The following is a 12,186-nucleotide window of genomic DNA, read 5'->3' as shown; positions in this document are numbered from 1 at the left end:
AGACCAGCCTGGCCAACATGGTGAAACTCCATCTCTACTAAAAATACAAAAATTAGCCGGGCATGGTGGCAGACGCCTGTAATCCCAGCTACTTGGTAGGGTGCGGCAGGAGAATCACTTGAACCCAGGAGGCAGAGCCTGCAGTGAGCCGAGATTGCACCATTACACTCCAGCCTCAGTGACAGAGCGAGACTCTGTCTCAAAAACAAACAAACAAAAAAACAAAAAACAGAAAATACTCATCTTTCCTCAATACCCAGAAGAATATGTTCCTAAGGACATGTTGGTAAGCTGGAAAGACGCGGTAAAAAGGAATCCTGCAAGCGTGTCTGCTTGTACATGGAACGTAGTTAGTTTGGTGCTGAGATCCTCCCAGCTTGGCTTCTCTTCAGTCGTCTTTTGACCTGTGCATGGAGGAAGGCTGTGTCATCTGTGTGCACTCTGCCAGGAGGAAGCTTACAGAGCTGCCCTCCAGACTTCTCAACTAGCCCTGAAATCAACTTCAACTGGTGACTGGCAGGGGCCCTTTTCAGATGTACTTGAACATCACCTAATCTTCAGAATTCTCTCCCTCTGTATTCAATTTCAACTGGCACTCAAGAAACCAGAGTCTCTCCTTAGTGACTACGGACAGAGGCCCTCTCTTCTCTCTTCTTCAGAGCAATCATATGTAGGATTCAACTCGAGCCCAAATATAATTATACCGCCTTCTGATATCTATCTAGGTGCATGGCTTTCCTCCTTAAACGTGTGCCAAGTTTCCACTTTCAAGAAGTTAAATTGCCATATAAAAATGCCCTGGTGATGATGAGTAATTAGACATGGTAATGGAAAATTAACTGTGTTTTTATTTAGAGCATTTATTTTAACAAGACTTTCCTTCTTCTAACTGTTACTAAGCTGTAATAAAAATAAATTAAATCCTGAGGGTTTGCAAAGGTTTTCTGGTTAAAAAACAAACAAACAAAACACCTCTCTTCCTGGAGAGTATTTGTGAATGCCACCAAGTTTGTACAAAGTCCTGGTCTGACTCCCGTTACTAATAAATCCTAACGTGAATTCTGATTTTGCCATCTGTGCTGTGGAAAGAAACTACCGTTCCATCCTCTCAGGCAGCTAAAATGGAGGCAGGCACCGACAGGCAGGCCCAAGGTGCTTCTCCACGCTTGCAGTCTTTGCACGAATGCCCTCAATGCTTCTCTTCTTCTCGTCGTCATGCTGCTTCCAAGAGAGGGTGCCACCTGCAGCACAGTGGTCTTTTGCCCATCCTTTGAGCACCTGTGGGCTTTAGCAAGTTCTCGGGGAAAAGGTGGTTAATCCAGCTGTGAGTGCGTCCCTAGAGCCACACTAGAAACACCCATTCCACAAGACTGGAGTGTAAAACAGAACTGCATCCCCAACAGAAGATGCAAAATGAGGTGTTAATTTATGCATCCCACCTGAGTCCTTGCAGCCCTCTAACCATATTCCAGCTGAGAGCTTGTCAATGGGCTTAGCCATAGACCCACCAACTCTAGTCTGCTAACTACAGTCGTGGGCAGGACGTGTGGCAAGGAAGACCCTCAGGCTCCATAGCATGCACGTTCACGAGCTCAGTACAAATTAAGAGGCCTCGGCTGGGTGCAGTGGCTCACGCCTGTAATCCCAGCACTTCAGGAGGCCAAAGCGGGCAGATCACCTGAGGTCAGAAGTTCGAGACCAGCCTGTCCAACATGGTGAAACCCCGTCTCTACTAAAAATACAAAAATTAGCCAGGCATGGTGGCACATGTCTGTAGTCCCAGCTACTAGGGAGGCTGAGGTGGGAGGATCGCTTGAACCCGGGAAGCAGAGGTTGCAGTGAGCCAAGATCGCCCCACTGCACTCCAGCCTGGGCAACAGACCAAGATCCTGTTTCAAAAAAATAAAACAAAAACAAAAACAAATGAAGAGGCCTCAGCCCATGTGACGTACCTACCTTTGCATCTCTGCTGCTCCTCCTACCTGACCTCAAAACAAAGTGCAAATAACACCTAAAATTGCTTCTGGTTTAACATTTACTCAGTCTTCCAGAGCGAAGGCTAAATGCTGTGCAGAGCTTAAGCTCTGGATCTCAACCTTGAAGAGGCCCCAGCACGCGTCTAAGTAGAATCAACTTTAGCCATTTAGTACCCATGGAGCGACAGAATTTCACAAGCCAGCTTTGTTTTGCCTGTACAGCCCTTCGGAGGAATGCTGTGCTATGAGGCTGAATCTGTGCAGCCTCAAGAATTTCAAAGAAACCCACTCTTACTTTCCTTCTTCCCTTCTTTTTTTTCCTTTCAATCTCTCTTTATAAATAAAATAATCCTTTGCAATCCTAACTCCTTTTCATATAGATTTTTGGGATATGTTACATTTAATCTTTCCACTCTGATTTCTAGGATATGCTAAAACTAACAACTTTATACTATCCATGTTTCTATCACAAATTCAGTCTTGGATCCAGAAATACAACCAGCAAAAAACAAACATATCTGTAGGAAATCAGCCTCATAATAGAGTTTCATTTGAGTTGTATGTAGCAAAGTTGATTTGACAGTTTTGCTGGTGATAACACCCTGTAGGTAGAGTTCAAAGAGAAAATTCCACATAGTAAGCAAAAGTATTAGATGTTCCCCTATCCCAATTCCGAGCTGCCTCTCACATACACTAGGAAAAAACAACAACAAACAAACAAACAAAACAAAACAAAACAAACAAAGAAGGGCTTAGCAATGGTTCTACAAGTAGTTGAGAGGGATTTTTTAAACACCCTAACTGCTAGTCAACAGTTAGATTAAGTTTCAAAATAATAGACTCAATGACAATGCCATCACCAAGCAAATATAAATATTTGTTGCATGAAATTACTGAATTAAATGATAGTGAACAGTGGACATTTGGAGGGGCATTTCAACCCGTGAACGAAATTTCTAATCGTTTTTTCATTTGCTTTGAGAAAAATCAGAGCCAGAGAAGACACCGCTAATGAACTATTCATGAGTTAAAACCGACTTCACAGCGGGCGCGATGGCTCATGCCTATAATCCCAGCACTTTGGGAGGCCGAGGCGGGTGGATCACGAGATTAGGAGTTCGAGACCAGCCTGGCCAACATGGTGAAACCCTGTCTCTACTAAAAATACAAAAATTAGCTGGGTGTGGTCATGGGCGCCTGTAATCCCAGCTACTCAGGAGGCTGAGGCAGGAGAATCATTTGAACCCAGAAGGTGGAGGTTGCAGTGAGCCAAGATCCCGCTATTGGAAGAAAAAAAAAAAAAACTGACTCCTAAGGAATCCCTTGGTATCTCTAGCAAAAGAGTAGTGAGATAACAGTTAAGGATCCCAAAAGAGCTCAGTTCCAAATATATACTGACCCTGGATGAGTCCCAGATCCCGTGCATCCCTCTATTTATTTACCCTTACAATGGGAACAGGAGAAGCAGTTATGAGTAATTGCTACTAAAAGCCTATGTGCCTCTGGCAGAAATACAAATGCTTGTTGATAACGATCATTTTTCCCAGACCTTGGTTTATGTTTCTCCATTAACATTCCAGTATCCAACTCTCAGGTTCCTAAGATCCTATGAGTTTGGGTCTCTGACTGAAAAAGACCAAGCTGAGATTTGGAGAGTCACCAGAGCTAACTCCATGAAGCACTAGCCAGCTCCCTAACTCCCAAACGAGACACTATACATACCTGCACCGCATTTAATTTTTTGCTGGGATGACACCCAATGTTTGTGATAAAAACGCACCCAAGGACACTACCCCAAAGGACTTGCTTCTCTTGGATCCACCACAGGATAAAATGTTCTTGATGCCACCTCCTAAAAGATAAACACCCTTCCCCAAATGTCCCTTCTAACTGGCTGGTTGACTGTCCCCTGGGTGTGACTGCACGGGTTAGTCCCGGGTGTGTAACCAAGTTGGAAAAGTCTTCCTGATTTCTGAGTACTATGACAAGGAGGAGAGTGGCATACAGTGGACTGAAACTATAACGAAGCACTGACGTGACCCTGGCACTTTGCAAAAAATACCTTCTGCTTGAGGATATTGATCTATGATTTTATGAGCCTCTCCAGCTCTGTAGGTCTAACCACCAAAGATCAGACAGGTAAGAGATTCAACAGACCCATTCTGCCAGAGAAGGGGAAAAGAATTAGATTATAGGTTAGTGGAATAATTAAAAGTCTCATCCTATTCGCAGGCTGTAAAATGTCCAAGTATCTACACTCACCTCCCCACAAATGTGCATGTGTAAATGTAAGGTAATTCTAGGTTCTAAGTAGAAAAAATTGTAATAAAAGTAATTAGTACCATAGGTTCATTTATCAGTATCTTCATGTGAAAACCCTTAGGGTAATTGTAACAATCCTTATTTTTGTGAAGCAAGTTATCCATTTTTTCTCAACACGCCTCAAATTTAGAAACTGCCTGATTCTAAAGATCAGACAGAAAGGCAGAGGCTTCAAAAATGACCACGCCGATGCTTCCACAAACTATTCTACCCCAAGAAACCAGCTTTCTTCAAGTGGGCTTTTCCACCAAGAAACATTAATCACAACCGGAAAAAGAAAATAAAGCATCCTAAATGAAGTGTATTTATGATATCCTAAAATGCACCTCTCTTTTGGCCTTTGTAATGACGGTCAATGCTCTGAAGTTGGAGAGCTCATCGCTGATTTCTAAATGGCATTACACTGCCTTCTGAGTAGGGATTACTGTTTACAGATTTAAGAATAAAACCAACTTTTTATATACTAACTTAATTCTAAGCATATTCCACCCCTCACCAATGGCCTGAATGACACAACTCTTTTCAAATGGAGGCATTCTTTTGGGCTTAGCTGTTTAAATTTTAGTTTAAATGTGATGATAAACCGTTCTGTGGTGAGGCTTACAGGGAAAGGATTCCCTTTTGCAGTGTCTATTAGGATGATTTACGAGACGTACTAGGAAACCGAGAGAAATTTAGAGACATCTTTCCAAGACTAAAATTATTGTGTTTATAATAAGAAAGCGTCTGTTAAACAACAATTTTTGGAAGGTGAGGATTCCATCAAGGCTAGAATGTCGAACAATAAATTCCTGTCAGGTGATTATCTGCCTGAGATGAAAACTATTCCCATTTCTCAGTTTGCTTGAATACATGCTATTCTGCCTGATATTTGGTACCATAAATTGACCTTTAGGTTACTAAATCCACAGAGCATGAACTGTTTCATTATGCAGTGTTTTTTTTTTTTTTAATGCTGTAGTTTTCTTTCCATCCCAATTTTATGCACTTATTGTACATGCTGGTAACTTTTTAATTTTGAGGCCTTTTTTTTCTCTTAGTTTTCATTATTTTACCTGACACAGTTCACTTCTGTTACACGTCTTTAAATCTTAAATCAGCAAATGAAAGGCTGAGAAAGTTCAGTAACTTTAATTCCAATGTATGCCTTTCACTTGAACTTTTTATGCATTGCTTCCACCACCAGTGCTCAACATTTAGTTCCATCTAGCAAAAAAAAAAAAAAAAAAAAGAAAAAGAAAAGAAAAGAAGAAAATTACAGTGTCCTTTGGGATGCCAGCAACTTATTGTTGTTGTTTTTAATTAATAAGAAAAAAGATTACATTCATCTAATCAAAGATTTTTGTCCTGACCTTAACTGTTAAAAACAAAAATGCTTTGAAAGTATGGTATTTGCAAAACCCCTGAGAAGACACTAATGGGATTCCCATGATCTAATACATGTAAGGCTTTAACTGTAACTGTAAACCCACTGAAGGCTTATGATCTGAAAGTATGAACTATTGTAGCCAGTTTTTATGGGTTTAATTCCACCAGCAAATCCCAGTTTCTATATTTTAATTCTCAACTAGAGCAAAATAACGACACATTTTCAACTAACAATCCGAAAGAAGAAAGTACTGGAATAACGGAGCCAGAAAACCATTGCCAACAGCCACCCTCTACCACGAACCATCAGTGAACTTCGAAAAGCACAAGACTGAGCAACACTTAAGTCTGTGAAATACGTGCATTTCACTTATAACACTCACAAAACTACATATGAATCATTTTTTTTTCCTCTGATTTATTTCCCACACAAGGTTCAATAAAACACGACACTTACTCAGCCACCTCTGACTGAATGACTATTCTCTGCAGCTATTTATTACTCCTCTTCTGCCACGTTTTCTTCTATGATCCAATTCTGTGACTCCTATAAGCCAGGAAAAGCTGCCTTCAAGTCAACACAGCACAAAGTCACTGAAAATTCTGCCGGCACTAGGCTCTACCTAGGTGCTTAGAAGTTGTTCTGTTTTGTCCTGGGAATGTCCCATACGCAATGTTAATGACTGAAACAGATCCTCTCTTTTTCCTCGAAGGGAATTGAGTTATTATAACAAAGGATGATTTGTGCTCAAAACAATATTCAACTTATCACCCCTATTCAGTATGTATGTGTCCAAGGGTCCACAACCACCTATACACAAATGTAAAAATATCAGTTCTCAGGAGATCTATCTTGTTTCTAAAATTTCTTATTTGTTCCTTGTTTCATATATTTCTTGGTTTTAAAAATTCAGTATTACAAGGCTTGTTATGGGACATCAGGCCTAATTCTACCTTACAGACAAATTAACTTTAAAAAGGCATAACTGAATACAGTATACATTTTACAACCAAATACATGTAGGAACAATTTGGTTTTAAAAGAACTTCACTGTATGTATTTATCATATGTTTACTGATTGTCATATAGGGACTATCAATGGAACCAAGAGAAAATACAGGATTCCACGCATTGAGCATTAACAACTCAAATGTTCCAAAAAATATCTTCCAAAACTGTTGGCCCTTCATTTTTTCATTTTAAGTGTAATTTAATTTATCTCATGCCTCTCATGCAACTAACAATCTCAAAGGTTCTTTTGGTTTGGAAATACTTTATGCTTACCTTTAATGGAAAGCACACTCAATAACTTTTTTCTGATAAAAAGTGCTCCTACTTCTTTTTCGTTTTATTATACCCATGTTCCATAACCTAAATCCTAACAATGCCGAGATACTTTGAAACTTGGATCTTCTCTTAATGCATTCAAAATTTTAAAAGTACCTTGGATTTATTTTCGATAGAAACTCTACTACGTTTTCAATATATGTATTAAGTTCTCTTTATCTTTACTATTGCTCTTACCTCCCGTGAAGAGAGAAAACCAGGTGTGAGTAATGTTTTCATTGTTACCATTGCTGGTTTTGGTCACTTAAGACAAACGAGGGTGACCTTTTCGGCTTGACTTAAGACAAACGAGGGTGACCTTTTCGGCTTGTGCCACAAAGACAATGTACTTCAGAACTACTTTCTCAGAGGGCGATCATTGTAAGCAAAGCTCAGTGAATTCGAGATTTTGTTGAGAACCTCAGGATACTGATTTACTTGCAAAATTCACAGTGGAGACAGTAGGAGGCTGGACAAGTTAACTCAAGGTGAGATGCAAGGCCGCCAAGCTCAAGTTTGAAATTCACACACACCACCACTTCCTGAAACAACGATTTAGACGCTGAACCTGCTCAAGTGTTTGAACTTTCAGCAGGAAACGAGGAAGCGTTCTCCTCCGAGCAGGACAATCAGGCGTTGCGCGAGCAGCCCACTCCTAAGGCCCTGCCGCCTTTATTTCCACTCGTGCCATCCACACCTTGCGTGGTCCTTCCCGGCCACGTCGCAGATGCCTTTGCAATGCCCACCGCTTGCTGAGGCGCAGGAAAAGAATCCCTTAACTTAACCCTTCCTCTCGCCCTCGGATCGCAAAGCACAGGCCACCTACACGGACGTGAAAGCTACCGAACCCCACTTATCCCCTAGCGGAGCGTCTTACCCGTACAGGAATGCAGGGGCTTGGGTCGCACGACCAGCGACGGGCACACGGAGTAGAGGGAAAGTTTCTCAAAGTAATCGCAGGTCTCCTTGGAGAGGATCTCGTCGATCATGAAAGTCTTGTAGCGCCGCCTGGCTGCTTTGAGCTGGCCGGGCGAGCTCAGCCTCAGCTCGGCGTGGCAGTGCATGGTGAGCCGGCGCGAGCGTCCGCCGGCCCGAGCGCGGCTGCGAGTGCCCGGCCCGCTGGGGCCGCGGGGCTGGCGCGACGGCGGGGCCTGGGCCCCGCTCCCGGCAGCTGGGGAGGCGGCGGGGCTCGGGTGGCGCGCGGAGGAGAGCGGGTAGCGGGCGCGCCTGCCGCGCGTCTAGACCCACCCGCAGATCAGCATCTTCGCTGAGCCTTTTTGGGACAACGCAGCTGTCAATCAGCGCGAGCTTCCTGCAGGGCCGGGTGCGGAGTGTGTGCTGAGGGGCGTCCGCGCCCACCCCGCCCCCGCCCGCCCGTGCCACTCCGGCGCCGACCTGCGCGCCTAGTGCCCGGCGGCTCTCAGTCGCTGCCTCCCGCTCTGGTGTCTCGCGCTCCTCTGCCTGGCTCTCTATTTTAAGACGCTCGTTTTGGCTCTCCTCCCCCTCCCCCCCGGGACGCGCTCCAGGTGTGTGTGCAGGAGTGTGCGCGCGGTGCGGGGAGCGCGCACCGCCCCAGCCCGCGGCCAAGGCCCAGGCCGGTAGCTCCCCGGGGCAGTGTTCCCCATGAGCACCTTACTGCCTGTCCTGCCACCCGCCGGCCCGGCTCCCAGTGTCCGCAGCCCAGCGGGAGGGCACGTTCAGGTCTCTTACTAGAAAGAAGTCTAGTCCTCACTAGGCTCCCGGGACTTCGGGCCACAGAGCCAGTGCCCCCGAGGACCCACCGTGCCTTTCTCCTTCCCCGCGTGGACGGTTTCCCGAAGACCGCGGCTTCCCAAGCCCTCCACTCGCAGTCTCGCAGCCCGCGCTGAGCCTGCGCGCTCCGAGCGTAAGACTTTTGAGCTGAAGTTGCAAACTTGACTGCCCCAAGATCCCAAATCATAAATGACCCTGGCCCCGTCCGTTACCCTCATAAAAAACTGAGAAAAAAAAAAAGATAAGAAAAGAAAAACTAATAAAAGTGTGAGTTATCGCCGGGCGCGGTGGCTCAAGCCTGTAATCCCAACATTTGGGAGGCCGACGTGAGACGATAGCTTGAGGTCAGAGGTTCGAGACCAGCCTGGTCAATATAGGGAGACCCTGTCTTTACAAAAGAAAAATTAAAAACAGGCATGGTGGTGCACGCCTGTAGTCCCAGCTACTGGAGAGGTTGAGGCAAGAGGAAACCTGTAGTCCCAGCTATTGGAGAGGTTTAGGCAGGAGGAAATCTTGAGCCCAGGAGTTCGCGGCTGCAGTGAGCCGGGATCTCGTCACTGCACTCCAGCCTGGGCGACAAGAGCGAGATTCTGACTTTTTAAAAAAGTGTGCGGTTTTTTTTAAAACATTGTTTATAAAAACATTTTTTCCTCGTTGGAAAGGGTCAGAGCTGCACGATTCTAGGGAGCCGGCGGGCACTGGGGCAGCCTGTCCCATGCGGGCTTCTCCCAGCGCCCGAGTCTTCCGGCAAAGGGGCTTTCAATATCCGGATCCCTCGCGATACGACCGGGTTAGAGAGTCGCGAAGACAGGCGTTTATTGGGTGATTTGCCTTTTTCTTTCCAGGCTCTTAGTCTTAGGGTCTGTTCCAATCAAAATCTGTACGGACTTTAGTTGTTCATTGGAATTGCTGCGTAAAGGGGACCCCGCCGAGCCTCCGCGCCCGGGAAGCCTCCGGCAGCCTGAGTCGCGCCCGGTGTTCGGCGGGAACAGCCCAGTGCACGCCCGTTTCCACGACTTTATGTTGGAATGAGTGTGCATGGGGTTGGAAGGAAAACGCACGACAGGGACACTGAGAAGTATAGACGCGGATGGCCTTCCCTAGGGCCGAGTTTGGGGCCGGTGACATTTCCTCCCCGCTCCCAGCCTAGAAGCGTCCGCGAGTGCCGGCGGGCTCTCTGCGGAGCTGCTTGCCCAGGGGGCCCTGGTGGCCGCGGAAGCAAGTAAATGAGGGCGCCTGGGCCGGTGATTAAACTAGGAGGGAGGGACACGCCCAGAGGACTAATCATTAGGCTGTTAGAGAAAATAGATTTTTTCTTTTTTTTTTGAGACCGAGCCTCACTCTGTCGCCCAGGCTGGAGTGCAGTGGCGTGATCTCGCCTCATTGCAACCTCTGCCCCCCAGGTTCAAGCGATTCTCCTGCCTCAGTCTCCCGAGAAGCTGGGATTACAGGCGCCTGTCACCGCGCCCGGCTAACTTTTGTATTTTTTAGTAGAGACCAGGTTTCACCATCTTGGCCAGGCTGGTCTTGAACTCCTGACCTCGTGATTCACCCGCTTCGCCTCCCAAAGTGCTGGGATTACAGGCGTGAGAAAATAGATGTTAAGAGGCCAAGTCACAGCCTAGCATTAGACAAGGCCCGCAACGCGTCTTTGAGGAACTTCATTCCCGAAGTATTTGCAAACTGGCCTCCCCTCCCCTCCTCTCCATCTAGAATTGTTTTCTTTCATTCTCTTTCTCCATGCAGAGGCGGCTGCAGGGCAGGCGAGAACTGCTGCCAGGTGTCCGGGTGGCGCCGGGGGTCCTGCCGCCGGACTCTGGGGTCTACAGGCTGGCCCCAGGCGCGCCCCCTGCTTCCGCGGCGGGACCCTGAGGCTGGTCCGCGGTCAAAGCGCGGGACCCGGGACAGCTCACCGCTCAGCCCTGGCATCGCCGTCCGACGCCACGACGGAGGGGGTTCTCCCGGGCGCAAGCCGAGAGGGAAACCGCTGCGCCGAGTCGGGGCTGGGTCCCAGGGGCTCAGCGTTCGCTCCCGGGGCAATGCCGGGCGGGGAGCTTTAGGCGCCCCGAGGAAAGTGAGCCGCTGGTAGGCAGCCGCCAGTAAACTGAGTGCTTGCGGGCGATCTCACCCGCAGCGCCGACTACGAGGCGGGCTTGGAGCTGGGGACCAGCACCTGAGCGACAGCACCAGGACCCGACGCCCGACGAGGGGCCGAGCGCGTCGCGTCTATACTTTCTATCTGCCCGGCGTGTGCCCACAGAATGCGGCACTATTCGGGGCCCCGACTTTGCATTGCTCTTCTTTTCCTTAACCTCTTTTCTTCTCTCTGGTTCTTCCCCTTCCTTCCACCGCCACTGACTCCTCTCCTCTTCTTCCCTCCCACTTCTCCCTTCCCCGCATTGCTCCCCGCCCTTTGGGCCTCTCCTCCTCTGTCGAATTTCCCGCTTCTGTTTTCTCTCTTCTGCCCTCCCTTCTCCCCATCGTTCATCCTTGTTTTCTCTCTCTCTTTTTAACTTCCCTTCTCCTCCTCTCCTTCTTCCCTTTTTCCAAACCCGGGTCTGGACTCGCGTTCGCGTGTTCCTGGTCGCGGTGCTGCCCCTCGGAAGGCTGCAGGCGGCTCACGCGCAGGGACAGAGCCCAAGCCCGGGAGGGACCGGCCTCGCCTTGGCTGGCCGCGTCGCCCAGCGCTCTCACTCCTCTCCGCTTCCACTCGGCCACAGGCACAAAACTCACAAAATCCAGACACTCCCGCAGACGAGTTCTTTGATTTGAAATCTGCAGTGTTTTAATAGGTGAAGAAGTAAAAATTCCAATTCACCTCCTTGGATTTTCCATCTTTTCTATTTCGCGCTACAGAGGCAAGAAATCTCAGAAGGGGTCTGCGGGCACAAGTCCCCTGTGCAGTGGAGAGGGAGAGATGCCCGATCTTGGAGTCTAGAGCCTTGCGCTCTCTTTTGCTCCCTAAGCTGAGCCTCAGTTTTTTCATTTGTAAATGGTGACCACAAAACCTACTTCACAAGGATGGGCTTTCATAATCCATGCCTTTATACAAGTTTGTTCCCTTTCACTGGAATGCCCTTTACATCCTATCCCCTCCTTCTCTGCCCCAAAACCTAGAGACTTATCTCAAATGTCACCTCCTTTGTGAAGTGTCTCCCCACTCCCCAAGGCTGCCGATTCCTACTTCTGTGGTGGCATATCCTATACTGTATTGTCTTTTGCATGTTTATTTCACTCACTGGACAATGACCAGGTGGGCCTACGCCCTATGTTATATTATTCATTTGTATCACCAATACCCATAAAGCACACAGTGGGTTCTCAGTAAATGAGTCATGAATAAATGAATGAATGGGAAAATAATATGTTAGATGGGACATCAAATCTTAATTAGTTGTACTCAGTTTGTCTTTCTCTTTAAATGAGCCTCTCTCATTTCGG

The 12,186-nt window shown here is 47.1% G+C and overlaps 1 protein-coding gene across 2 annotated transcripts in view; it reads right to left on the bottom strand.

The window, feature by feature from the left end:
- The window catches only part of BARX2 (BARX homeobox 2), a 77,047-nt gene extending 68,187 nt beyond the window's left edge, over positions 1-8,860 (bottom strand). The window contains exon 1 of one of the 2 annotated variants that reach the window (XM_011543044.3): positions 8,775-8,860. Coding sequence is in view for 1 of the 2 variants with exons in the window: in NM_003658.5 (NP_003649.2) it covers positions 7,871-8,057 (187 nt within the window). In the remaining variant the exon portion in view is untranslated. Of the gene's footprint in view, positions 1-7,870; positions 8,246-8,774 lie in introns of those variants that run through there. The other variant, NM_003658.5, reaches the window with a different exon arrangement.
- Between the last annotated feature and the right edge of the window lie 3,326 nt (positions 8,861-12,186).

This window comes from Homo sapiens, chromosome 11 (genome assembly GCF_000001405.40).
Source record: "Homo sapiens chromosome 11, GRCh38.p14 Primary Assembly".
NCBI lineage: Eukaryota > Metazoa > Chordata > Mammalia > Primates > Hominidae > Homo > Homo sapiens.
Note: the sequence above shows the minus strand (reverse complement) of the source record. Positions and strands in the feature narration are given on the sequence as shown.